At 46.4% G+C, this 27676-nt stretch overlaps 1 protein-coding gene across 3 annotated transcripts in view, besides 1 other annotated feature; it reads left to right on the top strand.

The window, feature by feature from the left end:
- FRMD4A (FERM domain containing 4A) overlaps window positions 1-27676 on the top strand; it is a 687219-nt gene that overhangs the window by 493494 nt on the left and 166049 nt on the right. For all 3 annotated transcript variants that reach the window (NM_018027.5, NM_001318336.2, NM_001318337.2), the window contains one exon: window positions 26523-26617. In NM_018027.5, coding sequence (NP_060497.3) covers window positions 26523-26617 — 95 coding nt within the window. The remainder of the gene's footprint in view (window positions 1-26522; window positions 26618-27676) is intronic.
- Window positions 10719-10905: a silencer, noted in NCBI's record as "fragment chr10:13868526-13868712 (GRCh37/hg19 assembly coordinates)". NCBI's record gives its function as "represses an EF-1alpha promoter that drives an FKBP-Casp9 reporter gene in an ReSE screen in HepG2 liver carcinoma cells {active_cell/tissue: HepG2}" and the evidence as "EXISTENCE:reporter gene assay evidence [ECO:0000049][PMID:32094911]".

The raw sequence follows: 27676 nt of genomic DNA, 5'->3' as shown, positions 1-27676 counted from the left end.
TTGGCTTCTCAGGGCTTGTCATGGGAGAGGCCAGCACTCGAGGCCCAATCAGGACTCCAGAATCCAAGTGTCAGGGCCCCTGAACCTTGCTGGGCTCGGCCCAGTAGGCTTTGGGAGAAGTTTCTTTGCAGCTCACTGACCATATTAAGGGAGGGAGAAAGGCAGCAGTTAGGGCAGTTTAAACTGGTATTTGTAATTTTGGGTGGTTGTCTCAAAGAGCAACCCCCTTGAGGAAAGCATTTCTGGAGCCAGTATTTCCAAAAATGTGCTGGAGAGGGGTCTGCGTCAAGTAAGTTTGGGAAATGCCTCACCATCCTCACCATGTGTTCCCATGTGAGATGTGGGCACATTTGCTTAAGAACCACTGAGGAACCGGCCGGGTGCGGTGGCTCATGCCTGTAATCCCAGCACTTTGAGAGGCTGAGGCAGGCAGATCATGAGGTCAGGAGCTCGAGACCGTCCTGGCTAACACGGTGAAACCCCGTCTCTACTAAAAATACAAAAAATTAGCCGGGCGTGGTGGCGGGTGCCTGTAGTCCCAGCTACTGGGGAGGCTGAGGCAGGAGAATGGCGTGAACCCAGGAGGCAGAGCTTGCAGTGAGCCCAGATCGTGCCACTGCACTCCAGCCTTGGCGACAGAGCGAGACTCCGTCTCAAAAAAAAAAAAAAAAAAAAGAACCACTGAGGAACCCTGGAGTGAAGACCCCTGGTTAGTCAGTCTTTCCAGGCCCTCCTTGCCATGAAAAACCCTCCCTCCTGGGCCACAAACTCATTTTGGGGTATGTGACTTCTTCAGTTGTGGAGGAACAAGGACCCGATGTAATTAACACTCTGGGAAGTGCTATAACTGGCTCTGTCAAGACCATGTGAGACCTATTCCAGCTCTACTAGGGGTAACGGGTGGCTCCAAACAAGCCACTTCGCATTTCTGTTTCTCTGTTTCCTCCCCGCGCCCCCCAAAGAATTGTCAATTTCTGTACCACCTCTTTTTCCTTCCCAGGAAAACTACCAAGATCAAGGAAATGACATAAAAATGCTTTGGGCTGTGGTGTGACCAAAATGTCAGATGAGTGCTATGAGAGTTTCTTCCAAGACAGACTGATGTCCATCCCTTAAAGAATAACCAAAATCCTGGCCCGGTGCTTTGGCTCACACCTGTAATCCCAGCACTTTGGGAGGCCAAAGCAGGTGGATCACCTGAGGTCAGGAGTTCAAGACCAGCCTGGCCAACATGGCAAAACCCCGTCTCTACTACAAATACAGAAATTAGCCAGGTGTGGTAGCTCACACGTGTAGTCCCAGCTACTCAGGAGGCTGAAGCAGGAGAATCCCTTGAACCCGGGAGGCAGAGGCTGCAGTGAGCTGAGATCGTGCCACTGCACTCCAGCCTGGGCAACAGAGTAAGACTCCATCTCAAAAACAAAATCTTGAATTCTCTGCTGAAGTGTTTAGTGCCAGGCTCATAGTAGACACTCTCTAAATACTTAGTGAATTAATGAATAAAAATAATAATACAATGGTCCCCAACCTTTTTGGCACCAGGGACCTGTTTGAAGGAAGACAATTTTTCCAGACTGGTGAAAGGGGGAGGGGGATGGTTTGGGGATGATTCAAGCACATTACATTTCTTGTGCACTTTATTTCTATTATTATATTGTAGTATCTAATGAAATAATTCTACAACTTACCATAATGTCCTATCAGTGGGAGCCCTGAACTTATTTTCTTGCAACTAGACTGTCCCATCTGGGGGTGATGGGAGACAGTGACACATCATCAGGCATTAGACACCTGATGGAGCACACAACCCAGATAGCTCGCATGCACAGTTCACAATAGGGTTCATACTCCTATGAGTATCTAATGCCACCACTGATCTGAAGGGAGGTGGAACTCAGGCAATAATGCGCGATGGGGAGCTGCTATAAATACAGATGAAGCTTCACTCACTCTCCTGCGACTCACCGCCTGCTGTGGAGCCCGGTTCCTGTACTGGTCCGTGGCCCTGGGGGTTGTAGATTCCAGTAATAATATATAAGGACTATAGAACTATATGTAAAGGTATATAACCACATATAAAATGATGACTGTTTACATGCCAGGCATACAACCATTACCCTTGTAAGTTTTCACTAATTCTTGAGGACAACCGTAGGATAAACTGTTGTTATCTCCATGCTACTGTTGAGGAAACTGAGGCACAAAGAGTTAAGTAGGTTGCTGAGGTTCACACAGCTCCACGAGTGAAGTAACTGGGCTCAAAGCCAAGTTCGGCGGCCATCAAAGCCCTCCTCTTAACCATTACACTTGCCGCTGTGCTGAATGAATGCATTTTGAAAAGGATAAGAAAGCATATTTCTTTCTATGCATCCTAATGACCTCCATCTCCGGCCACCCCCTGGCAGCCTCACTCTTGGGTCTTAGATAGATGATATCATCATGACATGTTTTCCGTGCACGCTGCTATCACGGGGAATTATCTGATTGTCTGGAAGTCCATTTGCTAAAGTGGGACAAAGGGAAAAACTGGGCAGAGAAGAATTTCGGAGGTAAGAATGAGGTCTTGTGTAGTCAAGAGGGGAAATGTTAACCCTGTCAGCTTAAAAAGCCATGTGCCTCTGTCTCTCGCTCATTTAAATCACCCACTGTTAATAGCCTTCCTGGAAATGTGTCCCATGGCAACACAGGCTGGTCTCAGTTCCCTGTTCACCCCCTGTGGAGCCCCGTGCCTTGTTCTCCTGACGTGCTTTGTAATGCTGAAGATGACTCTCTGGACCAGAAATTTCAGACGCATCAATTTCGTCTTCCCTCTGCCCCGAGGGATGAAGTCAGTTCTTCAAAAGTTTTCTTTCTAACGTCAGGCTTTCAAATTCTGGTATCCTTTGACTATTCAGAGATTAATACTTAGAGGAACTCCAAGAAGCCTCCGGGGGAAGGGGCTTGATATCTCACCATTTTTCTCCCTCCTGGAGAAGAGCACAAAGGACTGTGCTCATGTCTGCAGGCCGGGTTTTATTTTAGGGAAGACGGGACTAATTTGTGTCCAGAGACCGGTTTCTTAGGAGAACTGGTTAGGCTGCCTGGCTGCTTGTTTTTTTGGTTTGGTTTTGTTTTGTTTTGTTGTTGGTGGTGGTTTTTGTTTTGTTTTGTTGTTGTTGTTGTTTTCTGAGATGGAGTCTTACTCTGTTGCCCAGGCTGGAGTGCAAGGGTACAATCTCAGCCCACTGCAACCTCCACCTCCCAAGTTCAAGCGATTCTCCTGCCTCAGCCTCCCAAGTAGCTGGAATTACAGTCACCCACCACCGTGCCCAGCTAATTTTTATATTTTTAGTAGAGACAGGGTTTCGCCATGTTGGCCAGGCTGGTTTTGTACTCCTGATCTCAGGTGATCCACCCACCTCCCCCGTGGCCTCCCAAAGTCCTGGGATTACAGGCGTGAGCCACTGCGCCTGGCCTGCTTGGTGTTTTTCAAATCAGCTTACACATTCCCAAGGAGGAGGACATGTCTCCTTCTGCACCCACTTTGGACTTAACTTTTAAGCGCCCAGACCCTGCCTCTGGGTCAGACTACCTGGCTTTGAGGCCCAGCTCCACTATGTCATAGCCGGGTGACCTTTAATATGGGAATGATCATAACAATAACATCTGCCTCATAGTGTTGTTGAGATGATTAACTGCAATTCTGTATAGATTAGTGGGCTCTTGTAAAGACTTACGAGATGCTAGGCATTGTTCTAAGGGCTTTCTCTGTTAGAAGGCTTTTGATCCTCACAACGCTCCAATGAAGCAGGTACTGATATTGTATTGACAGGTTCATTTAACCTGCCTGAAGCCACACAGTCAGTAAGGAGCTCCCAAATCTGGGCCCTTAACCACCGGGCACAGGGCAGATGCCCCATGAATGTCAGGAGTTATGTGGCCACTCTGTGAGCTCCTGAAGGTTGGTGATATGGTTTGGCTGTGTTCCCACCCAAATCTCACCTTGAATTGTAATAATTCCCATGTGTCAAGGACAGGGACAGGTGGAGATAATTGCATCCTGGGGACGGTTTCCCCCATACTGTTCTCATGGTAGTAAGTAAATCTCATGAGATCTGATGGTTTTATAAATGGGAGTTCCCCTGCACAAGCTCTCTCTTGCCTGCCACCATGTAAGACTTCTCTTGCTCTTCCACCATGATTGTGAGGCCTCCCCAGCCATATGGAACTGTGAGTCCATTAAACCTCTTTTTCTTTATAAATTACCCAGTCTCAGGTATGTCTTTATTGGCAATGTGAGAACAGTCTAATACAGTCAGGGACCATGGCTTCCTATGGCAGATCCATGGCACCCATCACCCTACCCAGCACGAGTGGGTGCTCGATAAATACTGTTCTGAATCCAGGGAGACATATGTGTGAAGGCAGACTGTACACGGAAAGGCATCAGCATTCTAATTACATCGCAAATATGCATTTCCCCACAACACAGTGATTCTTTCCAGATGCTCATTCCTAGTTGCACTCATTAGAATCAACCGATTCCCACTTTAGGAGGCTGAGGTGGGAGGATTGCTTGAGGCTAGGAGTTCAAGACCAGTCTGGGCAACATAGCAAGACCCTGTCTCTATAAAAAATTTAAAAATTAGCCGGGTGTGGTGGCATTCACCTCTAGTCCCAGCTACTTCGGAGGCTGAGGTGGGAGGATCACTCCCACCTACCCCCTGGCCTGCAGGCCTCACCCTCTAGTCCCCTAGGGGTGTGCTTGGAGATCTAGGCCATTCCCAGCTTCCTAGCAGGATCCCAAGAGTTCAAGGTTGCTGTGAGCTATAATTGTACCACTGTACTTCAGCCTGAGTGACAGAGTGAGACCCTTTCTCTAAATAAAGAAAAAGAAAAAAGAATCCACAGATTCCTCGACCCACCCAAGACCAATCAAGTCGGAATCCCGAGGGTGCCCCAGGCATCTCTGGCTTTTTAAACTGCCCCGCTGATTCTAATGTGCTCGCAAGGCTGAAATCACTAATTTAGAAGATCCAGGTGACATTTCCGCACAGACCTCCTGCTTCCTGTTCTGAAACCTCTCACTCTGGACGAAGCACGAGGGTCTGTTTGGAGGAAGGAATCCTAAGAGGGCAGTGGACAATCCTTGATGCTGGTATTGCTGTGGACACACGGGAAAGGCACTTCAATCAAGCAGCTAGAAAGGACAGCTTGGGATGCAGCTTGGAAGAGTGGCCGAGAGGGAGCAGCCGAAAGCAGGCAGGAAAAGCAGTGTCTGAGTTCACCCCCGGTGAGCTGGGCCGGCAACTCGGTTCTCTTGGTGTAATTCATTGGTTCTGCTGGTGTAATTGATCATCAGAGCCCACCTCACTCATGCACATTAGAATGGAAGTCCAGGCCAGGGTTTTCATTTTGCTTTTGTTCTGTTTGATTTTTCCCTCCACTCTGACAGAGGAAGTGAAAGTCTTGAAGATTACGTGCCAGCAGGAGATTGCTGTTGTTTGGCTAAAAAAGCCCTGAGCTCTTGGCCTGGATGAATTCTGATAGAGGCAGGAGTCCACCCAGCACTGTCTCCATTTTGGAGTAGCTCAGCCTCTCCCCCGGTGAATGCCTGGGTGTTCCCAGACAATGGCAACTGGGAGATCTCCTACCCAAAAAGGAAGCAGGATAAGGATGTAATGAGGATGTTGTTAAGAGGTTGGCATGGGGAAGGGAAATGCACAGTGGACGTGTGGAAGGAATTAACAAGCAGTAAGTAATAATTATGTGTCAAGAACTGAGTTACATGTCCCATACACCATCTTATTTAACTCCATGGTGTCCAGAAAGTTGGAGATATGATGTCCACTTTACAGAAAAGAAGCTGAAACTCTGGGAAGTGAAGCTACTGGGTCCTGATCCCACAACAGTTCAGAAAACCTTAATGCCAGTCCAAGTCTGTGACTTCAAAGCCTTCTTGTTTCCTAACAGCAATCTTAAGTTCTTATTTTATTTGTTTTAGAGACAGGACCTTGCTCTGTCACCTAGGGTAGAGTGCAGTGGTGCAATCATAGCTCACTGCAGGCCTCAAACTCCTACGCTCAAGCAATCCTCCTGCCTCAACTTCCCAAAGTGCTGAGACCTCAGGTATACACCACCATACCTGGCCAATCCTGGGATCTTCAGGCTGGGATTTGATGCCCAGGTCCCCAGATGAAGACCGGTAAAGTTGATGTCATCCAAAGAAGGTCAGAGGCATTGCGTTTGGTCTAAAACTCCACAGGGACTGTAGAAGTGAGCGTCCTGCCTCTCTGTGTGTGTGTGCCTCTTTGTCTAGCTAAGAAGTGTCAGGTCTGGAGTGATTTCTAAAAAGCAAAATTGGCCAGGCATGGTGGCTCACACCTATAATCCTAGCACTTTGGGAGGCCAAGGCAGGTGGATCACTTGAGGTCAGGAGCTCAAGACCAGCCTGGCCAACATGGCAAAACCCTGTCTCTACCAAAAATACAAAAATTAGCCAGGCCTGGTGGTGGGTGCCTGTAATCCCAGCTACTTGGGAGGCTGAGGCATGAGAATCACTTGAACCCGGGAGGCAGAGGTTGCAGTGAGCCGAGAATGTGCCATTGAACTCCTGCCTGGGTGACAGAGCGAGACTCTGTCTCTAATAATAATAAGCAAAACTTATGACACCAAGTACTCCTGTGCACACATACACACACACAGGGATGCTGCGTGACATGGAACATGAACATACATGGTCAGGCTTCCCATTTCTCTACACCTCCCGCTTTGCTTTCTCTGGTAAGTAGGGCAAGGCCTCCCATAAAGCCTTCAATGGCAATGCTGGGGTTACATTAACGTGTCGCCTTGTGCTGGTTCTGCAGGGGGCAGCACTGGTTAAAGGGAGCCACTGGAAGTGGGCTATGGATCCCACCTTCTCTGTTAAAACCATAGAACTCTGTGGCCCACAGTCAGGACAAGAACCTTGACCTCTCATCTTGGCTCAGGGCTCATTCAGAGTCTATAGTTTGGCTTTGGAGAAGCTCTGGGAGAAAGATGCATGCTTGCTGTTTTTTCACCTTCTTGTTCTAACGCTGTCGCCTTCCCAATTCCTTGACTCCTTCTGGAGTCTGTCAGAGGGGCTGGAAAAGCAGCAGCCCAGACAACAAAATCTCTTTTGTGCCTGTGACCTGGATGGTAGTGACCCTTCCTCCTGCAAATGGAGGGAAGGAGGGCCGAGGAGGGACAGCGCCCTGCCCGATGGATGCTCTGCCTGGCAGTCAGTGACACTTGTGGCAGTGAGGTCATGGCCTTAGATGATTTCTCTCTCTGCAGACTGACACACTGTTATGAATGTAAAGCGCGTTATCTCCTCCAGAGAGAACATGTAAGGCTAAGAGAAAGGAAGAGAGAGAGAGAGAGCTAGGGCATGTGGGGAAGCACACAGTCAAATCCCCAGGTGAGGTCACTGCTAGGATCCGATCAGGTGCCAGCGACAGGAAGGGGTCAGAGGTCTTCTGCACTGCATGCAAATCATTTCCTGAAAAGTCTTCAAGGTCAGTGTTTCCAGTGGCCTGGCCAGGCCCCCGATTTATTTTGGTGAAACACTTATGGCAAGAAGAGTCAGGCAGGTGACAGAAGCAAAGATGGGGATCCATGCCTTTCTCCTGGCTCTCCTGAATTCCCACAGATGGGTCTTCCCTGCACATGTTCAGCTCCACTTACTAAGGGTGGTTGGGGCTAAAGGTGATGGACCTAGGCTGCACCCATATCTACAAATAGAGGTTTCCAGTGGTGAAAGACAGCCCTGAAACCTACTGAGAGAGAAGGCATCCCTAGCATTAGGAAGCATTGAATTGAGCAGGAGTTAGAACCAGCAGGACATATGAAGTCACTGAAGGCTCCTGTGAAGATTGAGAAGGGCTTGGACGTGGGAACAGAACTCAAGGGAACACTGGTTTTTGCTTTTTGCCTTTTTTTGAGATGGGACCTCACTCTGTTGCCCAGGCTGGAGTGCAGTGGCACAATCATGGCTCACAGCAGCCTCAAACTCCTGTGCTGGGACCACAGGCACACGGCACCACACCCAGCTAATTTTTTTATTTTTTGTGGAGATGGGGTCTCACTTTGTTGCCCAGGCTGGTCTCGAATTCCTGGCCTCAAGGAGTCTTCCTGCCTCGGACCCCCAAAGTGCTGGGATTAGAGGTGTGAGCCACCATGCCCTGCCGGAAGAATGTTTTTCGTTTTGTTTATCAATGTGAAAGCTTCTCCTGCTAAAATCCTATTCCACCTCACCATTCACTCCTTCATTCATTGATCCATCCAGGCCATCATTTAACACTCACCATTTGGGTGAGGCTTGGATGTGGAGAAAGGGGAATGCTTATACACTGTTGGTAGGAATGCAAATTCATGCAACGTCTATGGAAAACAGTATGGAGATTTCTCAGAGAACTAAAAACCAAAGAACCATTTGACCCAGCAGTCCCATTACTGGGTATCTACTCAAAGGAAGATAAATCATTATATCAAAAAGATACCTGCACTTGTATGTTTATCACAGCACTATTCACAATAGTAAAGACATGGAATCCACTTAAGTGTCCATCAATGGACACTTGGATAAAGAAAACGTGGTGGCCTGGTGCAGTGGCTCACGCCTGTAATCCCAGCACTTTGCGAGGCCAAGGCGGGCGGATCACCTGAGGTCAGAAGTTCAAGAGCAGCCTGACCAACATGGAGAAACCCTGTCTCTACTAAAAATACAAAATTAGCCAGGCATGGTGGCACATGCCTATAATCCCAGCTACTCGAGAGTATGAGGCAGGAGAATTGCTTGAACCCAGGAGGCGGAGGTTGCAGTGAGCCAAGATGGTGCCATTGCACTCCAGCCTGGGCAACAAGAGTGAAACTCCGTCTCAAAAAAAAAAAAAAGAAAGAAAGAAAGAAGAAAACATGGTATACATATACAATGGAATAGTATTCAGCCATCAAAAAGAATGAAATCATGTTTTTTGCAGCAACGTGGATGGAACTGGAAGTCATTAAGTGAAATAGCTCAAAAACAAAAAGCCAAATACACATGTTCTCACTTAAAGTGCACACGTGGACGTGGAGTGTGGAATAATAGACATTGGTGACATGAAAGTGTGGGAGGGGGTGAGGGATGAGAAATGACCTAATGGGTACAACGGATGCTATTTGGGTGATGGATACACTAAAAGCCCAGACTTTGCCACTGCATAGTATATCCATGTAGCAAAACTGCACTTGTACCACTTCAATGTACAGAAATAAGAAAAAAAGAGATGTGGATAATACCATCCCTGCTTTCAAGATGTTGCCATCCTTGAAAAGGCATGGATTTAGAAAAAAAGATGGAAATGTGGTAGGACAGTGCCTCAGACGAGGCCTGCTGGAGCTTGGAGCACTCTGAGAGCCCCGCCATGAGCAGCTGAGCAAGGCAGCTCTCTCTGCAGAGGGGCTACAGAGCGGGGTCTTGCATAAATGGTATTTGGGCAGTAGAGACAGGGGAGGGGCTTCGAGCCCAAGGGGCTCGGAGCAGCCAGACAGCAGTTGAGCCCAGCATTAAAGAGCAGGGCTCCCCGAAGCAGGCAGGAGCAGAGGGGCCCCTTCTCCCTCCTCCTCTCCCACTCCTCCTGGCGTGCGGGCCTCACCCTCCAATCTCCTGGGGGTAGGCTTGGAGATCTAGCCCATTCCTTGCTTCCTGGCAGACTTACAGACTGCCGGAACCTCCGAACCCCTCTCTCAGATCCCAGGGCCCTTGGCTCAGCTCATCTGCTTTTGCTTTCTTGACCGTGATTTTCTGAACATTCCTACCTCTTGGCTTATCAGTCTGCAGGAGGCTGTTTCGCTTTGCCTGAATTGAGACTGACTTCATATTTATTATGTGGTTTGGCTTCAGAATCAAGACAAAATGTCAGTGCCAAGCTGCCTAATGGCCGACATTAGCATGCGTTAAAAACCTAATAAAACATCGCCTCCAAAATTTCAGGCCAAATTCGCTTATGTAAATGTCTAACATCAGGTCTCACCCAGAATATCCTGTCGGGTTTCGGGAGATGGGCTTGAAATCTGCCCCAGGCTGTGGGAACGGCGCAGATCGTGCTTGTGTGCTGGGCTTTGCTGGGGGCTAGACCATGAGACATTTCATGCCAGCCACATTTCTGGTTTTCTCTGAAACTGTGTTGAAGCCATGATGCCTGATACCCCTTATGTGTACTTCTTGGAAAAAGCTAACCCGTTTCTTTTGTCTGCTAACGAAGCTTGTGTAACCTCGCGAGATCTCCCTCCACAGAGTCCAATTCTGTGCCCTGCAGTAGAAATTCATTTGTCTCATAAATGCCTCACCGTCTTCAATGGACTTTGTCTTACTTAAGTTCCTAATCCCCCTATTCTGTGCTATTTTGAATTCCGTAAACCTCCTCTAAACCTTTGGAAGTATGTAGAATATAGAATAAATTAATATTTTCAGTCCAGGATGGAGGGTGTTACAGACTCAAGTTTTCTTTGGACCCGAGGACACGTGTCTGTTTTCATCCATTAATTACATGCCAGAAGGGAAGGGGCTGTGTGGCTTTTACATCCTTGCTCGCCTGACTTTCATGAAAATGCTGTTTAGGAATAAATATTTTTCAGCCCAGAGTTGATCTTCCCTCTTTAGCCTCCCGGGAGAGCAGTATCGGTACTGTACTTTTTCATTACTCTTCTAGCCCAGTAAGGGTGTCTTTTTAATTGTATCGAAAACGACATCATCAGCTGAGCAAAATGTATCTCTCTAACATGCACCTGCCAGTCATCCACAAGAGCCATGGGGAGGTAACGCTTTAGGGAGAGGATTCACAGGGGAGAGCACTTAGGGAACTTCCAACTTAAATGAAAAGCCAGTGCCATGTCTCTGGGCGTATCACTGGGGCCGGAGAGGGACTTCTTTTTCTTCTGGCCAATAAATGGAATTTTAACCCCAAAGAACCAATAGGCAGAGACAGGTGCAAGGAGGAGAAATCCTATAGTAGATGCAGCGGGTATTTCTGAGCAGACACTGGGAATAAGAAAGTATGCTGTGTAGGGCAAGGCTGCTCAAATAAGTTTAATTCCAAGGGAAGTGGCCTGCGTTCTATTCCCCTCACCGTGTAGTGATGATTTATTCATGGTTCCCGAGATGAAGGATGACAGCTCACCCTGAAGGGTATTTAGATTCTGATCAGAGAAGGTCTTTGTCAAAGTGAGGAGGGGATAATTTTAATAGGGATTCAGTTACTGATTAAGAAGAAAGGGGGAACCCTCATTTACTGAGCACCTCTCATGTACCAGGTCCCTTGTGAATGATCATTTATTGAGTCCTCGTGACAGCTTTGGGAGGTAGAGGTTATTGTTGCAATGTTCAAAGTGAGGCAGATGCTGATCAAGGTACACATCGGGTAGAACTGGCTTTCAGAGCCCTGAAGGCCGATTACAAATTCACCACCCAGATTCCATGAAACAGACACGTTTTAGGAGAATCACAGCACAGTTATCCCTTGGCATCCACAGGGCATTGGTTGCAGGACCCTGCTAAGATACCAAAATCATCAGATGCTCAAGTCCGTTAGATGCAGTAGTTCCTTCTTATCTGCGGTGTTACTTTCCACGTTTCAGTTATCCACAGTCTGAAATGATTCAATACAAGATTCCAGAAATAAACCATCTGTAGGTTTTAAATTGGGTGCCATTCTGAGTAGCATGAGGAGATCTCATGCTGTCCTGCTCCACCCTGCCCAGGACAAGAATCATCCCTTTGTCTGGCATTGCCACACTGTATAGACCAGTGATCCCCAAGCTTTTTGGCACAAGGGACCAGTTTCATGGAAGACAGTTTTTCCATGGACCAGGGTGGGGAGGGGCAAGGATGGTTTCAGGATGAAACTGTTCCACCTCACATCATCAGGCACTAGTTAGATTCTCATAAGGAGCATACAACCTAGATCCCTCGCATGCACAGTTCACAGTAGGGTTCGGGTTCCCGGGAGAATCTAATACTGCTGCTTAGGTGGTAATGCTCGCTTGCCCACTGCTGTGCAACCCAGTTTCTAACAGGCCACGGACCAGTACTGGTCTGCGGCCCGGGGTTTGGGGACCCCTAGTGTTGACGCTCCCCACCTTTAGTCAGTTAGTAGCCATCTCAGTGATCTGATCAACTGTCTCAGGATGGCAGCACTTGTGTTCAAGTCAACCTTACTTGATTTCATAATGGCCTCAAAGTGCAAGTGTAGTGATGCTGGCATCTGTTAGAATTGTTGTATTTTATTATTGGTTATGGTTGTTAATCTCTTACTCTGCCTACTTTAAAAATTACACTTTATCATAGGTATGTATGTATAGGACAAAAAGCAGTATATATAGGGTTTGGTGTTACCCATGGTTTCAGGTATCTACTGGGAGTCTTGGAAAGTGTCCCCCAGGAATGAGGGAAAAATGACTGCAAAGTGTGATGTCATTTGCATATAACCTAGACACATCCTCCTGTATACTTGAAATCATCTCTTGATTACTCTTTTTTTTTTTTTTTTTTTTTTGAGACAGAGTCTTGCTCTGTCACCTAGGCTGGAGTGCAATGGCACAATCTCGGCTCACTACAACCTCTGCCTCCCGGGTTCAAGCGATTCTCCTGCCTCAGCCTCCTGAGTAGCTTTGATTACAGGCATGCACCACCAGGCCCAGCTAATTTTTTTGTATTTTTAGTAGAGACGGGGTTTCCCCATTTTGGTCAGGCTGGTCTCAAATTCATGACCTCAAGTGTTCCACACACCTCAGCCTCCCAAAGGGCTGGGATTACAGGTGTGAGCCACCGTACCCAGCTGTTACTCTTAATACTTAGTGTGATGTAATGCTATATAGTTGTTATACTATATTGTTGTGTTATTTATTATTGGTGTATTGGTTTTTATTTTTATCTTTATTTATTTATTATTTTTTGTTTTGAGATAGAGTCTTGCTCTGTCACCCGGGCTGGAGTGTAGTAGTGCAATCTCAGCTCACTGCAACCTCCACCTGCTGGGTTCAAGCAATTCTGCCTCAGCCTCCTGAGTAGCTGGGATCATAGGCACGTGCCACCATGCTCAGCTAATTTTTTTTTTTTTTTTTTTTTTGTATTTTTAGTACAGATAGGGTTTCACCATGTTGGCCAGGCTGGTCTTGAACTCCTGACCTCATGATTCACCCTCCTTGGTCTCCCTTAGTGCTGGGATTACAGGCGGGAGACACCGCACCCAGCCTGGTTTTTTTGTTTTTAAGTATTTTTGATCCATGGTTGGTTGAATATACAGATGCAGAACCTGTGGATATGCAGGGTTGACTGTACTAATATTTTTTCTGTAACTTAATCTTGGAAGTGATATATTATTATTTTTTAACCCCCTCTGAACTTGGCTCTCACCACCATCCTGCTAAAAGGCAAGCTTTCCCTTTCCAGTCTGATGGCAATAGAGACACAGTCTTCGAATGCCAGCCACAGCTGAGGATAGCAGATGTCATACGAGCCACACCTTCCGTCCGTTACACTGGAAAAGTAGCAAGTGGCTGGTCCCTGTGTTCTTGGTTGACAGACACTCTTCTCTGCTCTTCCTTGAACATCGAGCAAATGGAATAATTCAGTGTGCAGTGTCATGAAGATATCTAGTTTGAGTTGGTCCTGGTGTCATTTGGCCCCGTGGAAAGGTACCAATCTGCCAATGTGTCATTTGATCTTATAGAACATACCTCACCTCCCAGTGAGTGCACGGGCAGCTTTTATCAGAAATAGTGATTTATTACTCACTGCAGGACAAGATGGGGTCATCACAGAGTCTGCAGGGCAGGCTTTCTTTTAACAACAACAACAAAAAAATGGAAGTGGCAGACCAGATGGCCATGGAAGATGGAGCTTGGAATCCCAAGATGTTGCTTCGTTTATCATCCCCATATTTTCTATAAATATCTCAGAATTTGGGCTGCAGACTTGGCAGTCCTATCTGGCAGAGGCAGGTTGAGCACTGCCTGTCTTTTTCTGTTTTCTCCTTACCGAAACAGTTATCATTTCATTAATGCAGAGAGGCTTGCCAAGGGGAGCCACGCTAGACTCACAGTCCTGGTGACATTGCCCTGAGCAGGCTGGAGTCTGGGGGTTGCTCTATTCATCAGGAGGCCTCCCTAATGAACACCTGCCCGCCTCCCAGAGTCCCCCGGGGATCATGAATAGAGCAGGCTCCCCAGCCGGCTGGCTGGCTTGTGAGCACTTTGCATTTCTAGAGGAGCAATCATTATGTACGCCTGTCAAAGCCTTCCCATTGGGCATCATTCAAATGCATGGATGAGAAAGCCTCCCTCCCACATGGGTATCAGTCCCAACTTTTCAGAGAACACAGGGACCAGACTGCATCTTAGGAAAATATGGAAGAAACTATGTGGAAATAAGAAGATGACACCCAGGGAATAAAAGCATAAAGGGGAAGGAGAGGGACAAATGGGGAGACTAAAAGCATTGCTCCCAGGGAGACCTCACCCCTGGGTTAAATGGCAGAGTCACTTGGAAGGAGAGAGAGAAGGAGGGGAGAGAGAAGGAGCTATTAAAGGGAGCTGTGACTTTGTTGGTTTGGGGAGGAGTTGGGTGAGGAAGAAGAGGGCACAGATATAGGGTTTGGGAATAGGGACATGACATATCCTTTCCTGGGGACACAAGTATCTGTCACAGGCCCCTTCATGGCTGCCTGGAGCTGTGTGATCTGATTGAAACCCAGTGGCTCTCTGGCATCAGTGAGCATGCGACACCTGGTCCCATCTGGCTCTGTGCAGCACCGCAGTCTCTGCCTAGCAGATCTCTCCTTCAAACCAGCTCAAGAGGGTGTCCAGGTTCCATCCTGTCTCGTGGTAGAACAACTGCATATGCCACCCTTTATTCTGTCCCATTCTACCAATAGGAAACTTTCATTAGGCACCTACTGTGTGTCAGGGACTGTATTGGGGTGTAAGTCCACAAATGTCGATCAAATGTGATCCCTCCCTTCCAGGAACTTACTGTCTGGCAAAATTCTATTGCATTTAGAAAAGGTGGCTTGGCTTTTGACTTCAGGAGAGGCTGTTATTTGCTAGATCTGAACCCCAGAATTTAAAAGCAAGCAAAGCTTTGTTTAGGAGATCTATTGTACATCGTGGTTATTGTAGCTAATAACGATGTCTTCAATGCTTGAAAATTGCTGAGAGTAGTTTGGAAATGTTCTCGCTACAAAAATCGTAAGTATGATAGGTGATGGATATGTTTATTAGCTTGATGGGTCAGCCCACATGTGCATATACATGAAAACATCATGTTGTACATCACAAATAGATACATACATATAGATCTATGTGTGTACATATGTGTGTGTGTATGTATATATATATATATCGTTTCCATTTCTGTCAGTGACCACTTTTACCCCTTTCCTTGATGTACTTTGTTTCTTTCCTTCCTGCTTCGGATCTTCGAGACCTGCTCTGTCCCCTAAGTGTAACATTAGCGGGGGCAAAGGATGGAGGTGTGGCGGGCACTTCGGGGCCACCTCACCTATGCTGGTAACCAAGGTGCCCACCCTCGTCCTGGACAGGTTTCTGGCCTCCTCTAGGCTTTCCTTTCTGCTGCCGTCATGAAGTGGGCTGGGCAGATGGTCTCTCTGGCTCTTCCTATAATCCTGGGTGACCCATGCCCACCTGTGTGCCGCGGTTCAGTTCTCCCACTGATTCGCTGTGTGAATTTGGCGAGTTGCTTCTCTGGCTGTATCTCAGTTCCCTCTATCACATGGGGGCAATCCTGGTGTCTACTTCAGGTGTTTCTGGTTTCTAGGGCTGGCTGCATGAATTCATGTGAAGTAGCAGCTGCAGGCGGGGACAGGTGGGCAGTGTTGTTGGCAGCTTTGCTGTTCTGCTGCAGCGATGTGATGCCACTGTCACTCCTAGACTAGAGGTAAAGGATTTGTCTCATGTGCACGAATGGATCCCGGTTCAGGCTGGGCAGGGACCTCTGGGTAAAGAGATGCCACCTCTGGCAGGCGGGTCTCTGATCTTGGCTTCGGGGTCTCTCCTACCTGTTCTGGGTGCCTGAGAGCCAAGACAGTGCAACTCCATTGTTCTTCACACCCGTCTGCCTACAGGAAGTAGCCTCCCTGTGTCCCCTGCCACAGAACCCAGGGCTGTGCTGGAGAGGCAGGAAGGAAACCAGCCTTCCCAGCTAAGCAGCAGGGCGACAAGGAGGGGAGTCGCCGCCCAGACCTGCTGGCCACACAGTGGACAGAGCTGCACAGAGTCACCTCATGCACCCCCCGCAGCAGCTTCCCCTCCCCGGGAATAATGAGCAGCCGCTGAGCCATTGCTGGGCTCAGAGCCCCCATGGGGATGGAGAGGGACACACAGTGACAGCCCAGGCTTCAGACCCGGCAGCTTGCTCAGGCTCATTTATTCAAAGCTGCGCTCCTTCCCCTGCTCTTTCCCTCTGGGTTTTCCGAAAAGCTAACCCCGGCCCCTCCTGTCCAGAGAGATGGGGGCAGACGGGCCACGTTTCACAGTCACTCCCAGACAGCCCCTGTCTGCCATCCCACAGCTGCACCCACTCCTAAAGGGCAGGGAGCCACCCATCCAGCAGGTCCCGGGGTCCCGGGCAGAGTGGATGGGCAGGCAGTGCTGGGCACAGAGCGGCGGCTGTGGCTGTGCCATCCGGCCATGCGTGTCCAAACCCTGGCAGCTTAGCAGTCACTGGGGGCTCTGCAGTGACAAAGGGATTGTCAAAAAACACCCTTGGCGAAGAGCAGGAGCTGAGAGTGTCACTCTTCAGAGGAGACCGTGGTTCCTCCCAAAGCACAGATGGGAGTCACCTGATGGTTACTGCTTGTTTGCTGTTTGAATTTTTTTTTTTTTTTTGAGATACAATTAACTCAGAAGTGGCAACTCTTTTGACTTAGAATCTGTGAGATGCCCCAAGGGAATAGGTTAACAAGAAGAAGCTTAAGGGGCCTGCTTCACCATGGAGTGACCCAAGGTCGGCTGAGACCAAGGCCCGCCTGCCTTCCCAGCCCAGAGTGCCACAGGGACAGTGGAGAGAGAACACCAATGTCAATGCAGGCTTCGCACTGAGATCACTCATGTCACAACCAACCAGTGCTGAGTTCCCTTCAATTACACGGAAACGAGGTCTTCGGGGTTTCCATCTGAGGGTGTATGAGTTTCCTGTGTCTGCCATAACAAATAACCACAAACCTGATGGCTGGAAAATAACAGAAACTCACTCTCCCAAATTTCTGGAGGCAGCTGGAGGGGACAATCGCTTCCCCACCTCTTCCAGCTTCTAGTGACTGGGGTTCCTCGCCTGTGTCTTCATCACTCATCACTCAGGTCTCTGCCTCTGTCTTCTCTCCTGTATGTCTGTTTTTAAAAAACCCTCTGTATCTCTCTTATAAGGAGGCAATATATCCCAGGACCTTGGGAGGCCAAGGCAGGTGGATCCCTTGCGCTCAGGAGTTCGAGACCAGCCTGGCCAACATGTTGAAACGTCATCTCTACTAAAAACACAAAAAAATTAGCTGGGTGTGGTGGCACATGCCTATAATCCCAGCTACTTGGGTGGCTGAGGCATGAGAATTGCTTGAACCTGGGAGGTGGAGGTTGCAGTGAGCTGAGATCATGCCACTGCACTCCAGCCTGAGATCGTGCCACTGTACTCCAGCCCGCACTCCAGACCCCATCTCAGAAAAAAAAAAAAAAAAAAGGAGACAATATAATGGCACTTAGAGCCCACCAGGATTAGTTCCTCCTCCCAAGGATCACGTCTTTTGTGATGAAAGGTAATACTCACAGGTTCCAGTGACTGGGATGGGTACATATGTTTTTGGGGACCACCATTCAACCTGCTATAGAGTGTAACAAATCATGTCACACAAAGTTTACCACAACACAAGAGCACATGTGCCAAGTGTGACTAAGCTGCCTGTGTTGAGTGCTGTAGAAATCCAGAGGAGGGAGAGAGCATTTGTAGGCAGGATGGTCAGGGAGGGCTTCATGGAGGAAGTGGGCTTTGAGCAGGATAAAATTTAAATGGGAAGGGGGAGGGGGAGAATGGAATGTACAAAGATTTGGAAATAAAAATGAGATCAGTGTTTTCTTTAGTTCAATCAAATAGATTGAACAGAAATGGATATTTTTGTAGGGAACTGGGCAAAAGTGAGGTTGGATAGGTAAACTGGGGCTGGGTTCATAGGGTGGTCTTAAATACCAGGCTAGCATTTAGAACTTGATACTATATGGAGTGGGGATTTTGTTTTGTTTTGTTTTGTTTTGTTTGAGACAGAGTCTCACTCTGTCACCCAGGCTGGAGGGTAGTGGTGCGATCTCGGCTCACTGCAACCTCCATCTCCTAGGTTCAAGCGATTCTCGTGCCTCAGCCTCTCGAGTAGCTGGGATTACAGGCATGAGCCACCACGCCCAGCTAATTTTTTTGTATTTTTAGTAGAGACAGGGTTTCACCGTGTTGGCCAGGCTAGTCTCAAACTCCTGGCCTCAGGTGATCTGCCCACCTCGGCTTCCCAAAGTCCTGGGATTATAGGCGTGAGCCACCGTGCCTGGCCATACATGGAATTTTTTAAATAATTTATGATTAGGATCTGAAATAATGAATACAAGTAACGTTCCATGCCAGGCATATTCTAAGTACTTCATATAGATCAGACTAATTTATTTAATTCTCAAAACAGCCTTGTGACCTGGGTATAGTCATTATCCTCATTTAATAGCTGAGAGGAAACTGAGGCACAGAGAGGTTTAGTAACTTACCTGAAATTATATAAGAAAGACAGGATATATTAACTGACTAGATTCAAGAGATCATGAAGGATGCAGATGGTGTTCAAGTTTTTTCGAATGGGTGAATAACACTCTTAGGAAGGCAGGATCGTTTGTAGGAAAGGAAGAAGCTAAATTTAATAATAACATAAGGAATAAAGGCTGGGTGCATTGGGTCACACTTGTCATCCCAGCACTTTGGGAAGCCAAAGAAAAAGGGTCACTTGAGGCCAGGAGTTCAAGACCAGCCTGGGCAACATAGAAAGAATCCATCTTTACAAAAAAAAATTTTTTTTTAATTAGCCAGCCATGGTGGTACATACCTGTAGTCCCCCCCTACTCAGGAGACTGAAGCTGGAGGATCACTGATCCCAGGATTGGAGGCTGCAGTGAGATATTATGGCACCACTGCACTCCAGCCTGGGCAACAGAATAAGTCCCTGTATCTAAAAACAATAATAATAATAACATAAATAATGTCTTAGTATAGGAATTCTTTTTATGGTACAGTAGTCCATCATTGTACAGATGAGAAAACTGAGGCCCAGAGAGCTTGCGTAATTTGTCTAAGATCATCTATCTGGATAGACACATGTCAAGTTTAAGTTGGTGGCATAATATATAAGTGATGGTAAATACCAGGCTAGCATTTAGAGCTTGATACTGTATGTAGTATAGTATACTGTGGAATATAGTATTCTGTGAGGAATTGGTGAGGTGCCTGGGTGCTACCTCATCCTTGAATTCCTTTCCCCAGAATTTACCTGAAGGGCTCATGGAAGTCACCTGAAAGGATGTTGTCATGTGGGTGTGTGTATTAGTCTGTTCTCATGCTGCTAATAAAGACATACCTGAGACTGGGTAATTTATAAAGGAAAGAGGTTTAGTGAACTCACAGTTCCACATGGCCTCACAATCACGGCGGAAGGCAAAGGAGAAGCAAAGGCACATCTTACATGGCGGCAGGCAAGAGAGCTTGTGCAGGGGAACTCCCGTTTATAAAACCGTCAGATCTTGTGAGACTTATTCATTACCATCAGAATAGATGGGGGAACCACACCCATGATTCAGTTATCTCCACCTGGCCTCGCCCTTGACACCTGGGGATTATTACAATTCAAGGTGAGATTTGGATGGGGACACAGCCAAACCATATCAGTGTGCCTAGAGCGCTTTACAGCCCTGCAACACGTTAAGTGCTGTTTTGATCATTCTAGTTAGTCGTGTCCTGCCTGGAAGAAGCAGGCCAGGAAGTAGTCAGGACCTGATCTGGAACCCTGTAATATGCTGGGAACGTGAACAGTTCCCACTGGAATCATCCAGTGTTCTCAAGAACTCAGATCTGGGTCCTGGAGCCACAAAGCACTGACTGAGAGCTCCTCTCCTTTCTTCCCTAAGTATTTAGAACCAGTGCTTTCCTTTCCTTGCTAAAGCACATGGCTGAAGCCCAGGTTTCTAAGCCCAGTTGGTGTTGGAAAGACTGTCCTATTAGCTCTGTGAGTGGTGCCACTGAGAAGTATATGTTAAGGAGGGATGTTTGCAAGGAGGTTTTATTTGTCAGGTATCAGGAGAAATAAAAGCTAAGAGGGACAATGGAAAAAGATTTTGAGATACAAAAAGAAAAGAGAGAAACTATTTGATTGAACAAAGCTAATTATGGGCTAAGAGAAAGCCAGTCTTAGATGTAATGACCTCTTAGGGCCAGGACGGCTGATGGCCCACAAGAGGCTAATTCTGACAAACCCAGGGAGCACAGGCTGCCTTGCTCACGTGGCCTCTGGGCTCCTGCCCAGATTGTCCAATAGAATGCGATTGGGCTACTAGCTGCCTTTCTGGCCTTGCTCCCAGTCCGATCCCTGCAAAGCTCCACAAATGTTTACAGCACCAGTAATTGGCAAATTATACTCAGCGGGATTCTGTAAACATCCCTTCAAAGCACATAAGAGCAGATTGCTTTCTGCTTGCCCAGCAACTTTCTCTGAAGGAGTTTAAGAAACTTTCAGAACAATGTAGTATATTAATCACTGTCACATCAGCGGGGGATATTGTCTTCATTTGCAAGATCAGGAAATCAAGGAGCTGATGCCACAAATTGTTTTAAATCAACTGTACAGAAAATAAAAGACTCAGTGCCTGAATCAATCAGGATAGGCTAGGTTATGCTGCAATGACAAACAACCCCCAATGTCTCTGTGACTTAAACAGTGAAACAATGATGTGTATTTCTCACTCTCACTACATGCCCATCCATCAACTCTCACTCTCATTGACAGAGCAGCCACCTTCTGGGCTGTTGCCAGTCACCATGACAGCAGAAAAAATGTGTGTGGCTTTAAAAGCAGCTAAGAGTCAGGAGTTGTAACCTCAACATCTTCTGGGATCTATTTTCTCCCTCTTCACGGCCTTTACTTCTCCATTTGTAAATTGCAAGTAATAAATGTAGGCTTTTCTTCCTGGAAATTGATACATATGGTCTATAATAACTGTTGTGTAAAGTAATGGGACTGACCTTTTAAATTTTTTAACAAAAGATATAAATCCAGATAGGTACAATTGTTGAAAAAGTTTATTTGAAAAGATGAAGTTTGTTCCAGCCAGGCAGCTACTGCTCAGAGCCTTTTCCTTGACTTCAGTTTATGAGTCACCAAGAAAACTTGTTTTCTTATTGTAGTGTGACAGGCTAAATCAGAGAGACATATCACCATGGTAAGGCAAAAACTCAGTCTCCAGAAGGCTTCCATGGTGGTATCCATTACTCTGGTGAATTCTTCAGTGTGTTAAGCCATCTCTTTATTCTGCAGGCTCAGAAACCTGATTTTTCATTCTCAGGGGAAGACTCACATTAACCAGGTTGAAAGTACTGATGTATAAATCCATAATGTCAGTGCACTGGTTTCAAGTGAGTCATGTAGCCCTCACTCAGCCAGGGCCCTTGAGGCACGATCCTTAGGCTCTCACCCTGGAAGCAGGGTCAACAGAGGTAGAGTGGCAGAGGGATTACACATGTGGGCTTTGAAACTATCAGACCTCCTTTCCCCCTTTTTCCTTTTTTTTTAATTGTGTCAAAATACATGTAACATCAAACACCATTTTAACCATTTTCGTATGTGCAATTCAGTGGCATCAAATGCATACACAATGTCATGTAACAATCACTAATATTTCCAACACTTTTTCATCATCCAGTACAGAAATGCTGTAACCATTAAGCAATAACCCCCCATCTGCCACCACCTCAGCCCGTGACAACCTCTATTCTGTTGTCTCTATGAATTTGCCTGTTTAATTACCTCATCTAAGTGCAATCATACAATATTTGTCTTTTTGTGTCTGGCTTCTTTCACTTAGCATAATGTCTTCAGGTTCCATCCACGTCAGGATTTCATTCCTTTTTAGGGCGAAATAATATTCCATGCTGTGTATCTCAACCTTGTTTTGAATCCCAGCTTGGCTGTGAGACCCAGGACAGCCTGCCTGGTATCTCTCAGTCTCAGAATCTTCTTTGGCAAAAGAATGATAATCTCTATTCTGGATGATAATGAGTTCATATATGAGGGACATATCCAGGATGTAGGTGTTCCTTGGGAGGCATGGAATTAGGAGAGTTCAATGTAACATGATCAGCTAAAGTAACCCCAAGCCTCCATTTCTGCCACATAAAAGGCCTTACCACCCGGTAAGGGACCCAAATATTCAACACCTATTGGCTAAGATCACGTTTGCTTCCTGGGTTCATCTCCCTTCCCCAACTGCACCTCCCACCCTGCCTCCACTTACCCCCTTCCATTCAGGCCCAATCATTCTATGGAGTGATGAACATATGTTCTAGATAAACTATGCCAGCACTGGGAATCATTCTTTCTCTTTCTGGGCAAACTTATGTATCTCTGATCAAATCTGTTGAGATGTAGGCTTTAAAGTTTAGCTCTCTTTTTTTTCTCTCTCTCTTTCTTTCTCTTGCTCTCTGTTTCTGTCTCTCTTTCTTTCTTTCTTTTTTTTCTCTCTCTCTTTCCCTTTCTTTCTTTTTTTTTTTTTTTTTTTTTTTTTTTGAAACAGGGTCTCACTCTATCGCCCAGGCTGGAGTGCAGTGGCATGATCATAGCTCACTGCAGCCTCAATTTCCTGGACTCAAGCAATCCTCCGGTCTGAGCTTCCTGAATAGCTAGGACTAGTCCCAAGTGCATGCCATCATGCCTGGCTAATTTTTAAATTTTTTTTTGTAGAGATGGGGTCTTGCTATATCGCCTCTGGGCTTAAAGGATCCTCCTGCCTCAGCCTCCCAAAGTGCTGGGATTATAGGCAAGAGCCACTGTGCCCAGCCTTAAAGTTAAAATCTCAAAAAGAACAAAATCTTATTTTTATTGTTTTCAAGTTTGGACCAGACCTCTCACCATAATCCCCAAGAACCCACAATAATTACTTTGTAGTCACACTTCATTTTATGAAACTGGGTTGACCAGGCATAATCACCCATTCCTCCTCCTCTATCTCTGTTCACTAGACTTGACTTTAAGTGACTTTTGGCATTTGAAAAAAAAAATCAAATCCATTCTCGAGCACAGGAAGATTTATCACCAGTGAAAACGCGTTGACAAATCTGACACAAGCCTCAAGGGCAAACCCAAAAGATTATCAAAAATGTTTCAAGAAATAGCAAGCATCAGAGAAATACAGTGACTACTTTGAAAGCGGTAGCAATCATTTGGACAGGTAAATTATATCACAGACTGTCCCTAACCTATGATGGTCTGACTTATGATTTTTCTACTTTACACTGGTGCAAAAGCAATGTACTTTTAGTAGAAACTGTACTTCCAATTTTGAATGTTGATCTTTTCCCAGGCTAGCAGTACGCGGTACAATACGCTCTGGCAGCGCTGCTCAGCCATACAGTCACAAGAGTAAACAACTGATAGTCTACAGTGTACTGAATTCAATAAAGTACATGAGCCATTCAACACTCTATGATAAAACAGGCTTGACATTAGATGATTTTGCCCAACTGTAGGCCAGTGGCAGTGTTTAGAGCACCTTTAAGGTAGGCTAGGCTAAGCTGTGATGTTTGGTGGGTAAGGTGTATTAAATGTATTTTCGATTTACAATATTTTCAACTTCCAATGAGCTTACCACGATGTAGCCCCATCATAATTCGAGGAGCATATGTATATTGCAACTTATTTATTTTTATTTTGAGACAGTCTCGCTCTGTTGCCAAGGCTGGAGTGCAGTGACGTGATCTCTACTCACTGCAACCTCCACCTCCCAGGTTCAAGAGCTCTGCCTCAGCCTCCCGAGTAGCTGGAATTACAAGCACACGCCACCACGCCTGGCTAATTGTTTTATTTTTAGTAGAGACAAGGTTTTGCCATGTTGGCCAGGCTGGTCTCAAACTCCTGACCTCACGCAATCTGCCCACCTCGGCCTCCCAAAGTGTTGGGATTACAGGCGTGAGCCATGGCGCCCGGCCACTACCTTGCAATTTAAAAAGCAGCCACACTACCTCATAGTCACAAGTGATCCAGCAAAGCCTTTGTTATTGGGCAGCCGAATACTTCCTGGGGGTGGAGCTAGTGCTGGCCACAGCCCATGGCAAACACAGCATTTACCGGAAGCTTCAAGAGCACCCATCTTGCATTCTACTTCGTAATTCATCAGCGACCTTCTGAGATGTGCCACGTTTACTCCACTGCATTCTCGCAGAGTAGACGTTCCACCAGGAGTGAGGGAGGGTCTGACGTATCACCTTGAATTCCCTGTTGGTTATAGAGATTGCTTTTTCACTTTTTCAAAATTCAGTATGAATGGAAGTATAGACTATGAGGTGGTATTGATTTATCACGTTGGGTTCTCCTGTCCATTCCTGTCTGCTGGGGAGGAAGCTTCAAACCCATTCTTTCAGTTTAAGTGGTTTTCATCAGTGAATTGATGGTCATCTAGGCCCTGAGGCTGCCACCCAGGAGCCCAGGAGTGAGACAGAAAAGGGTGGAGCATCTTCTTTGGCTTTTTAAACTCAGCGCTAGCTCTTACTCCGTGTCCCTGTTAAAAGTCTAAGGTCCCTATGGGCCTGTGCTGCACCTTGCTTATTTTTCTGTCTCCTACAGCATGTGGGCAGTGCCCTGTACATAGTAGGCATTCAATAAATAAATGTCTGTTGTATTAAACAGTCATTTCAATATCAGGGTGCCAGCATGGTTAGCTCCTGGTGAGGGCCACCTTTGCATTTTGGCCCCACATGGCAGAGAGAGGAAGCAGGCTCTCTGGTGTCTCTTCTTATAAGGACACGAATCCCATCTTGGGGGCCCCACCCTCATAAACTCATTTAAACCTAATTGTCTCCCAAAGGTCCCATTTCCAAATACCACTGGATGTCAGAGCTTTAACGCATGCATTTTGGGGAGATATAATTCAGTCCATGGCAGTACCCAAAAAGTGAAATAAGAAACCAACTGTCGGCCAGGTGCAGTGGCTCATGCCTGTAATCCCAACACTGGGAGGCCGAGGCAGGCAGATCACGAGGTCAAGAGATCGAGACCATCCTGGACAACATGGTGAAACCCTGTCTCTACTAAAAATACAAAAATTCGTTGGGCATGGTGGCACGCACCTGTAGTCCCAGCTACTCGGGAGGCTGAGGCAAGAGAATCACTTGAACCCAGGAGGCAGAGGTTGCAATGAGCCAAGATCGCACTACTGCACACCAGCCTGGTGACAGAGCGAGACTCCATCTCAAAAAAAAAAAAAAAAACCAACAGATAATGAAATAACTTTCCTAATATCTGGTGAGTGTGCTTGGAATGGAGTAATTTTCATAGAGGCAATGTATTTTCAAATGCATGACCTGGAAGCTAGTTTAGAAATAACTCTTCTCTTCCGGCCCTGTTTCCGCATCAGACAGCCTTTCCTCCCTCCCCCACTTCAGTGCCTGGTGTTCTGTGGTCACTTCAGTAGTAACAGACCAAGGTGAATAACATGTTAACAATACAAACATCTACCATGACTTTATGCCTAACGCTCTGGTGTGCTTCTTTAGACTGGCAGATATCTTTTTTTTTTTTTTTGAGGCAGAGTCTCACTCTGTCACCCAGGCTGGAGTGCAGTGGCGTGATCTTGGCTCACTGCAACCTCTGCCTTGCAGTTTCAAGCGATTCTCCTTCCTCAGCCTCCCAAGTAGCTGGGATTACTAAAAATACAAAAATTAGCCAGGTGTGATGGCGCACGTCTGTAATCACAGCACTTTGGGAGGCTGAGGCAGGTGGATCACTTGAAGCCAGGAGTTAGAGACCAGCCTGGCCAACATGGTGAAACCCCATCTTTCCTAAAACCAAAAAAAAAAAAAAAAGCCATGCGTGGTGGCATATGCCTATAATCCCAGAGGCTGAGGCATGAGAATCGCTTGAACCCGGGAGGCAGAGGTTGCAGTGAGCGAAGATCATGCCACTGCACTCCAGCCTGGATGACAGAGCGAGACTCCATCTCAATTAAAAAAAAAAAAACCCTTCTAGGAAACAAAACAGAAGGTCTCTATCTGTTGATGACCCTTGACTTGGCTGTGTGCTCATCAGTGTCATTGTCTATTTGTTTGGGTTTATAAAAATCATTTGCTTCAAAATACTTGAGCTTTGTGACATTTCATTGAAAAAATTATGGAAACCTGAGATTGCATATTTTAGGAAAAGCAGTCTCTCATCACTTACCCTTCTTCCATTGTATTCTTCTTGCAGCCCAAGCTGTTGGCCAAGGAGCTTCTTGACCTTGTGGCTTCTCACTTCAATCTGAAGGAAAAGGAGTACTTTGGAATAGCATTCACAGATGAAACGTAAGTACTGCCTTGAGCCCTCACAGCCCGAAGGGAGAGTCAGTGCAGAACCCGAAACTGCTCCACTCCAGCTGTTAGCAGCGAAATCAGCTGCAGACCACTTGGGTCCCATGGTCTGGGGTCAGTCCAAGTTCATCATCTGAATTTCAAAGGCCTTGTGGTCATGCCTGGTACAGCCAAAGGATATAATTAGGGTGATACTAATATTATAAAATTATTAGGTAAACTAGTTCTAATAATCAAGCAGGTTTGTGTTCAGACTGAAATGTTTATTTTTTTTTAAGTGGATCTATGTGAGTTTGTTTTCTATTTAAGTTAAATGAAAACTTCTGGAAATGAAACATTTCTCTCTACTGTTGGGATAACAATAACAGGAAGTGAATTTGATGATAAATTCAAAATGAAAATAACCTGTGCAGTTTCAGTGTCTAAACTGAAATAAAGCGACTATGAAAATAAAAAATTCAGATCACTGATCTGATGAGAAGAATATTTGCTTTCAAGGGTCTTTTCAGTTTGGCTCTATAAAGTGGTGTTGTGTAATACAAGTAAGGAAAATCTTTACTAAAATTTCCATTTTCTTTTTAAGGTACTGTTATCAAAAGAGTATACTGAATACCTGTATAGATTTCTAGATAAAAATGAGCTATTCTAAGAAAATAGTTCATAATTCTCTTTCCTCTGTGCACACACGTACAGTCACAAACACACACACAGACTCTCTCTCTCTCTCTCTGTCTTCCAGATCTTCAGAAATACAGAGATGATTTCCTAAACTACTAATAGATCAGTGTTAGGTTAGTGGCCAGGCAAGACAGTACAGGGGAGCCGAGGCCCTGGGAATCAGGTGGTGCCACTGAAGCAAGAACAGGTGGGCATCCACATGGGCCAGTGAGAGAGGCAACCAGGTGTCCCTGCACATGGCTACACTTGGCCTTGGTGAGATGCAAGTGGAAGGGGTGGTCTTATGACTTATTATCCAAATTGAGACACTGAACAAAAGGGGGTGTCGTTGGGACTGTCTTGGGCAAACCGGACCATCTGGTCACCCTGTAAATC

This window comes from Homo sapiens, chromosome 10 (assembly GCF_000001405.40).
Source record: "Homo sapiens chromosome 10, GRCh38.p14 Primary Assembly".
Classification (NCBI taxonomy): Eukaryota; Metazoa; Chordata; class Mammalia; order Primates; family Hominidae; genus Homo; species Homo sapiens.
This window is presented reverse-complemented; position numbering and strand designations above follow the sequence as displayed.